The sequence below is a fragment of the Homo sapiens genome, chromosome 12, assembly GCF_000001405.40.
Source record: "Homo sapiens chromosome 12, GRCh38.p14 Primary Assembly".
Classification (NCBI taxonomy): domain Eukaryota; kingdom Metazoa; phylum Chordata; class Mammalia; order Primates; family Hominidae; genus Homo; species Homo sapiens.
Genome location: NC_000012.12, coordinates 95935621 through 95943272, shown reverse-complemented (window position 1 = coordinate 95943272; position 7652 = coordinate 95935621). Strand labels below are relative to the sequence as shown.

General features: G+C 40.6%; 1 protein-coding gene across 3 annotated transcripts in view; it reads left to right on the top strand.

The window, feature by feature from the left end:
- The first annotated feature begins 39 nt into the window (after positions 1–39).
- CCDC38 (coiled-coil domain containing 38) overlaps positions 40–7652 on the top strand; it is a 76186-nt gene continuing 68573 nt past the window's right edge. For 2 of the 3 annotated variants that reach the window (NM_182496.3, XM_011537889.2), the window contains exons 1-2: positions 659–842; positions 6750–6800. In NM_182496.3, the coding sequence (NP_872302.2) occupies positions 6764–6800 (37 nt within the window). In that variant the 5' untranslated portion in view covers positions 659–842; positions 6750–6763. Of the gene's footprint in view, positions 222–658; positions 843–6749; positions 6801–7652 lie in introns of those variants that run through there. The other variant, XM_011537883.3, reaches the window with a different exon arrangement.

Below are 7652 nucleotides of genomic sequence, written 5' to 3'. Positions count from 1 at the left end.
CAGCCGCTGCCCTTTGCTCGCCTCCCCCAACCACAGCAACGGGGGCGGTAATCATTGCAAGAATGGCAACGAGTAATAAACCTGATGAGGAATCCTCTCTTTTTTGGTCGTCTTGTCCCATCCCGAGTAAACGAGATGGAGACTAGTGTCCCTACTTTTCAGATAAGGAAACTTAAGCTTGGTCACCCCGAGAGATCAAAGTGAGCTGTGTGGATCACGTGGTATGTGGAAGCGCGTCAAGGGTTGGCTGGGTGAGGGCACCCGGAGTGTTCGGGAGTGAGGGACCGGAACCTGGGGTAGAGCCCCGGAAGGGGGGCCATGGGGGAAACCTCTGCCCGGGGGGTTGGGGTGGGAGCCTGGAGATAGCGCTCCTGGAGAGGGCAGAGTAGGGGAAAGCTGTGCCCAGGGGCAGGGACGGGAGCTTGGAGGTAGAGCCCCGGGAGAGGACAGAGTGGGGGAAACCTCTGCCTAGGGTGCTGGGACGCGAGCCTGGAGGCAGAGCCCCGGGAGGGTACTGCGTGGAGGAAACATCTGCCCACAGGTTCTGGGGCGGGAGCCCGGGACGCGGAGGGCCGCGAGCCGAGGGAACCTGGGGGTGGGGAGGAGGGGGATGCGGTAGGGGAGGTGCTCCTGGGTCCGCGCGGGTGGCGGGTGCCCCGCACTTATCCGTTGGCCAGCTGCGTTCCGGGATCAGCTACCAGACGGTCCCTGAGATGACCGGGAACCGGGCTGGGGGAGGATAGAGCCGAGACTGGAGGATCGATTGGCACCTCCGCCCACTTTTCCCACAACGCCTTCCCGAACGATAGGTTGGAAAGGCTCCTGGATCCAAACTCGCTGAGGTAAAATAGGTTTCAGCTCAGTGTCCGCCCCTCCGCATGCCCCCTCCCACCCCTCAGCTGTGTCTGGTGGGCCTACAAGCAACTTGCGACCAAAATTGGAGACAGAATCAAGTTTATGGAAGATGGTCTGTGATTCTCAGCCTCGTCGCTTCCTGCTACCAATTGCTATGGAAACACTGCCAGGCCCAGGCTTTTGAGTCCTTAATTACTTGATTTCGTTTATTCATGTTTATCACAAGCTCTGTGTTAAGTCTTGTGGAACATACAAAGATAGGAAAGGCGCTTTCCCTGCCCAGTAAAGACTTTACAATAAAAGTGATAGATGTGGACACAAATAATATACTATAAAAGCAGACTAAGCCTGCAAACCCACAAAATATAAAAGTTAATTTAGTCTCATTAAAAAAACCTGGAACAGAAAGCAAACACTCCTTTAGATGACCACGATAAATAAGAATATAATTTAGCTTCATATTATGGCCTATAAAAGAGAGATCAGTTAGGAAAGAGAAAGATAAAAATTGGAAAATATATAGACAATGTGAGTGAAAGAGACCCTAAGGGTGGGGGGGAGGGGGCATCAGAAGATTATTCACAGCTCATATACACAATCACAAACAGGTTGTTTGTGTGTGTGTGTGCATAGCTTTTAAAAAGTTTATACATACATATATTTCTATGTCTTTAAAAAGAGAAGTAGAAATAGTGGGGAATAGAAACACATAAAGTCACTAATTCACAGAGAAATATTAAAATTTTCTATTATAAAATTTCTGCTGAAGACTTTAATCAGTTACATTTTGCAATTTTAGGCATATTTGCAGAACTATGCAATTGTATGTATAAAGGATGGGTTAAAATTATAGAAAAATAGGGTTCAATAAACTTGTCTTAGTCTGAGTTCTGTTTCCTATAAGCTGTTTGACCTTGGGGAATTTCTTTACAGTAATTTCTCGAAGCCTCGTTTTCTCATCCTCATCATAGGGAGAGCTGTTTCTACTTTATGGGCTTGTCTGAGTTTTAAATAAAATAAAACATAAATCACTTAGCCCAGTGCCCAGCTCTAAACAAGTAATAGGTATTATTACTATTATTCGTGTGTTTTAATCCTGCTATTTGTCTTCCTGGCCAATTAAGTTAAAGATTAGATTTCAGCCAATAGTATAGTTCCTCTCCTGACTTCACAGACCATGTACTTAAAGCTTGCAAGTTCTGGGTGAGTCTAAAAGAAATTATATTTCTTTTTCATAGGTATTTATGTTTGTGGGTGAACTGTGCATCTGATTCACAGTCCAGACAGACAACATTACCTGATAAGCTCCTGCAAACAGGAGGTTTGCAAAAGCAGAAAGGATGAGTGAATTTCTTTCCTTAGTTACTGTTCAGTAGTTATAGATGGATAAGGATGACACATTTTTCCTTGGTAATAACCAACATCCCGATAGCAGCTCTTATAAAATACTTTTCACATTATCTGACTTGTATATGCTGACTCCTTAACCCATCCTTCCTTCCTCTTGACCTCCAGTTTTTTTTTTTGTTTGTTTGTTTGTTTTTTTTCACTTCGCAAAAGGGGCAGTCAGAAATGTCAACAGAAGCGTCCATACTAAATAGCCTGACGCCAGCAGTGCCTTAAAGGTCAAGGTGAAAGTAATTTCCTCATCATTGTGCTGTGCTCTGACCTAGTCAGAAGCGGCAGCGTGCATCTAAGCAGGCCAAGGACCCAGTGGCTCCTGGCTTTTAGGTAAACAAAAAATTGCTAACTGTGATCTCCCCACACCATCCAAGGACACAGTTCACAGCCCCTTTTCCTAGTATTTGTCCAAGGTAGGCGGAGAGGAGGTGGGAAAAAAAAATGGAAGGGCATTGGGTCTGAGAGAACCAGTCTAAATCCTCATATGCATGTGAAGATAAACATTGCTTTTTATCTCACATTGAGATCATCTGGAAATTCGTTTTCATTGGGTTTTAGAGGGGGTTGTTGCAAAAAAACAAATAAACTGATTCGAATAATATCTGGTAGACAGTGTTATTATTCATTTTATTTAGAGTTGGTTTAGAAACTTAGGACTGGGCCTTATCAAATCCCACTCCTCTTTCCCCACTTCCCCTGGAGCTCAGAATGTTAAGACTCTACATGAAGCTGATTCAGGTCCCCCAGATTTGCACTGATATTGCTGGTAGACTCCTCTCCAATGACCAGGTTTCAAGAACTTTGATTGGGAGTTTCTTACAAAAAGTAGTTGTCAGTTATGCTCCCATTTCAAATGGCGGCAGTTGACAGAGTGGGCCAGAAAGAGGAAGGATCTGGACAATATCTAGTTTGAAAAAAGTATAAGGGATCACTTCTTCACAAGCCTACTATGAGCAGGCACTTTGCATATATTATCTGTGTTTGAAAATTGCACCAGGCCTGTAAGGAAGGTGTTATTATTCATACTTGATAGAAGATTCTACAGTGCATTAAGCATAATTCTCTAGACCCAAGAGAAAGAGTGGATAAGAGTCAGAGGCAGGAGTTAAACCTACCTGCCCCCAAAGGCCAGGGGTCTTTCCATAGTGCCATTCCTACTACCCTTGCAATGACACTTGTCAAGAGACCTGACTCAGAGACCACATATAATTGTACAGCTATTAAAGGAACACAACAATTAATTAAATCAACCAGCATGGGGTTCACTTGAAAGAACAGTATACATTACACCCATGTCCCTTTAGATATCTAATATATATCTCAAATTTCACATGTTCCAAAATGAGCCTCTGATCTTCCCAAGTGCCCCTTCCCCCACTGCCTTCTCTGTCTCCATTTATGGCAACTCCATCCTTTCTGCAATCAGTTCTTTATCTCATACTCCACATCCAAACCATCAGCCAATCCTGTAGACTCTACTGTCAAAACACATCTAGAATCGGACCACCTCTCACCACTTCCACTGCTATCCCAAGGAAGGGATAGCATTATCTCTTGCCTCCCAGTGGCTGTAGTCTCCTAGTAGATCTCCCTGTGTGACCCTTTTCCCTTTCTACAGTCTCTTCTCAGCTCAGCATCAGAGTGATTCATTGAATGGTTCCATTTCACTGAGAAAATGGCCTCCAGGGCCCTCGTGATCTTGGACTTCTTGTCTCTCTGGCTTCATCTGGGGTGCTGTCCCCTTTGTTCACTGTGTTTAAGGCCCACTGGTGTCCTTACTGTTCCTGAAACACACCAGGCACATTCCTCCCTCAGAGTGCACCTCTCCATGTGCTTACACTCCCATAGCACATACTATGCAACTGAGGCCATCCAAAGGCTGGACGTGGTAACTTACCTAACAATCCCACAAGGTAGATACTATTTGCATCATTCCTCTTGAAAGATGGGGAAATTGAAGTGTGAGGATTAAGGGACATAGAGAGAGTCTATGTTCTTAATCATTTAGCTTATGCGACCTCTAAAATGGATGGCTGGCAGTTATACACCACCATTTTACATTCCTGATATTTCTGAGCTTTTGATCTTTTTCATCTATTGGAAGTTGGATGTGAACGTGTATTTAAGATGTGAACTTTCAGGCATTTGCTATGCAATCCAATAACATTTTCCCTCTCTTTTGGTACAGAGCCTTTGTTTAGCCATCATGCTATTTTTATTTCGCACAACAAAGACATCCACTGACTTCAACATTTTTTCTGATTGGAAAGGGGACTTTATAATCCCTTCCTAACAATAACTGGTTCTGTTCCTCTCCCTCCCTTTTGTTCACCAACCTTTCATTCATCAATACAGGAATTCATGCATATGGAAGTATAGAAGTATAACAACATCTGGAGACTGCTGATTGCATTTACATGTTATATGAACTATATAATAGAGACAGAATAAGAGCAGATATCTGCTCTTAGCAATTGGTTTAAAGGAACAGAACTTCCAGTTTTTCTGTGAGTGAAAAAGTCCTTGAACCCATGGATAAAGATGCTCATTGCAAAAAGACTTTAAGGATAAAGGGAATGAGAGTGGGAAGGAGAGTGAATTTAGATAGATAGAAGGACCAAAGGAGTGAAAATGTGACAAGAAAGAGGTGATCAGAATCCTAAGAGTGGAGATGAGTACAGAGTGTAAAATTGAGAAAATCTACAAATCTTTAGTATTAGCCATCCAAATTCCAAATACTCATCAACCACAGGTTGTCACCAATTTTTCACCGATCTTTCTTTTCCCCCGTGAGAATGAATTTAATGCCTGTGAAAAAATGTTCAGTCATTTGAAAAAGTATAATGTCAATGTTATAGTTTTTATTCATTTTTTTCTCTTTTATAAGCTTTGACATAATTTTTTAAATATTTGTTTTTATAACCACTGGAACTAAAATCAGATGCTAATTAGTAAATATTAGCACATAATAGTTCCCACTTACTGAGCTGGTCTGTAAGCCAGGCACCCCACTTGGTTAAATCCATTGCCCACTGAATCCTCAAGAAAGCCTTAAGAGGTGTGTCCACTTTATGAAACAGGAAGCAGAGGCTCAGAGATGCTGAGTAATTAAGATGTAGGCTCCATGAAGACAATAGTTTTTGTTCTTTTTTGTCTTTTTAAAAATTGCCCTGTCCCCCACACGTAGAACAGTGCCTGACACATAGTAGGTACTCAATAAATGTTTTTTGAATGATACATGAACTTGCTCACACATAAGTAAATACCAAACCAAGATTCAAAAATCAGGCTTGTCCAAAGTCTGTGTTCTTAATCATCTGCTGCTCTGCTTCCGGGATATTTAGCTCTTATATATGGCTCTTTGAGATTCCTGAGGCACATATTTAAATGAGTAGCCCAAAATAGAATGTGTTGTCCATTGTTTCTGCTGCGGGCACATTTTTAAATATAAACTCCTGGGTGTCCTTTATCCCCAAAATGAATATATCTTTATTATTTTTCTCATTGTAACAGTTACACCAGCTCACTGAGAAATTTGAATGATACTCAAAGTATAGAAATCAGAACAAGGATTAGGGTAAGGCCAGTGAAGCTCTAGCTTCATGCATAAAATTTAAGGGGAAAGCAAAAACTCAGTAATCAAAATAAGCAATATTTTAATTCACTATTTTAAATATATAAATTAATGTAAAAAATTCATGATAAATGAAATAACAGAATTTTAAATAGAGACAAGTTCTGTGGGCCAGGATTTGGGTGAGTAGAGTGAGGCACTGGCTCTCAGGGTCACACAAGTACAGGGTCAGAGACTGTCCGTATTTACAATTTTGATATTTTGTTCATTATAGAATTTCCTGCATTTATTTGGAATTTTATAAAAATATATTGCATTAACATTTAATTTATCATAATAACTGAAAGTTGATTTTTTTGTTTTGTTTTTGTTTGTTTATTTTGGCAATCCTTAAGCTTTGCAGCTAAGATTGAGTGCCTCAATCACCTAACCCTAATCCCAAACCTGGTAAAAATGAGAGACTGCACCAAATCACATGTAATCAAGATTCATGTTTGATGAATGGCATTTCAAACACCTCTCAGATTTTTGCATGCATTTTTTAATCCACACTATCCCTACTCTTTTGAAATGTTTTGTTTTTTAACCAATACCATGGAGAGAGGTAAATAGTGACTACAGCATCATTTTAAGGGCCAACTGGAATTTATTTTATGGATATACCATAGTTATTTGGTCAACTCTGTATTTATGAAATGACATTGAACAAACATTATTGCACATGCTTTTTTGGCTGCTTGTCTGATTATTTTCTTGACATAAGATACCAGAATTGAAATTGCTGGGTCAAAGAGTATGTGTGTGCTCACTGCTTTTAAAAGCCATAAGGACTGTTAAGGAGTCATTGGCAGTTGAATTTAGCCCTTTTATATGATGTTCATAGAATTTTTAAAAAACGTATTTTTTTTTCTTTCAACAGGGCCAGGCAAGAAAATGTCCTCAAATTTATTGCCAACACTGAATTCTGGAGGTAAAAAGAAATCAATCAATATATTCTTGTTTGGGCCTGGCAGTGTTAGGCTCCATAACAGATTGTGAGCATAAGAAAAGGAGAATGTTACACCATAAATATAAAATGTAATGAGTTTATAAACTACCTGCAGAGAAGATTCTGTTCTACTTTTTAATTCAAAAAAAAAATCTTCAAATCAGAGGGTGCATTAAATTGTCATATTTAGCCAGATTGCCCCAGTCTCTCATGACAGAAAACAAGTAACTCAATTATTTGTCATAGTCAAGGACATACCTAACTAAACTTTATGAAAATCTGCCCTCTTCTTTCCTTTCCCACCCTTTCTCATCTTATCCTTCTGCCTATTTTTTATTTTTATTTATTTTATTTTATTTAATTAATTACTTTTTTTGAGATGGAATTTCGTTCTTGTTGCCCAAGCTGGAGTGCATTGGCGCAATCTTGGTTCACTGCAAACTCCGCCTCCTGGGTTCAAGTGATTCTCCTTCCTCAGCCTCCCAAGTAGCTGGGATTAGAGGCATGCACCACCACGCCCAGCTAATTTTGTGTTTTTAGTAGAGACAAGGTTTCACCATGTTGGCCAGGCTGGTCTCAAACTCCTGACCTCAGGTGATCCACCCACCTCGGCCTCCCAAAGACCTGGGATTACAGGCATGAGCTATCATGCCCAGCCTCCTTCTGCTTATTTATGAGCATACAAGGAATTAGTATTTATTGGTATATAAGGAATTACAATTTTCTCTTACAAATCTGACAAAAATTTAACATTTGGATAACACTAAGAGTTTGTAATAGGTAACAGGCACTCAGGCTCTCTATAGGCATTCTCTTTAAAGGAACATTTGACAC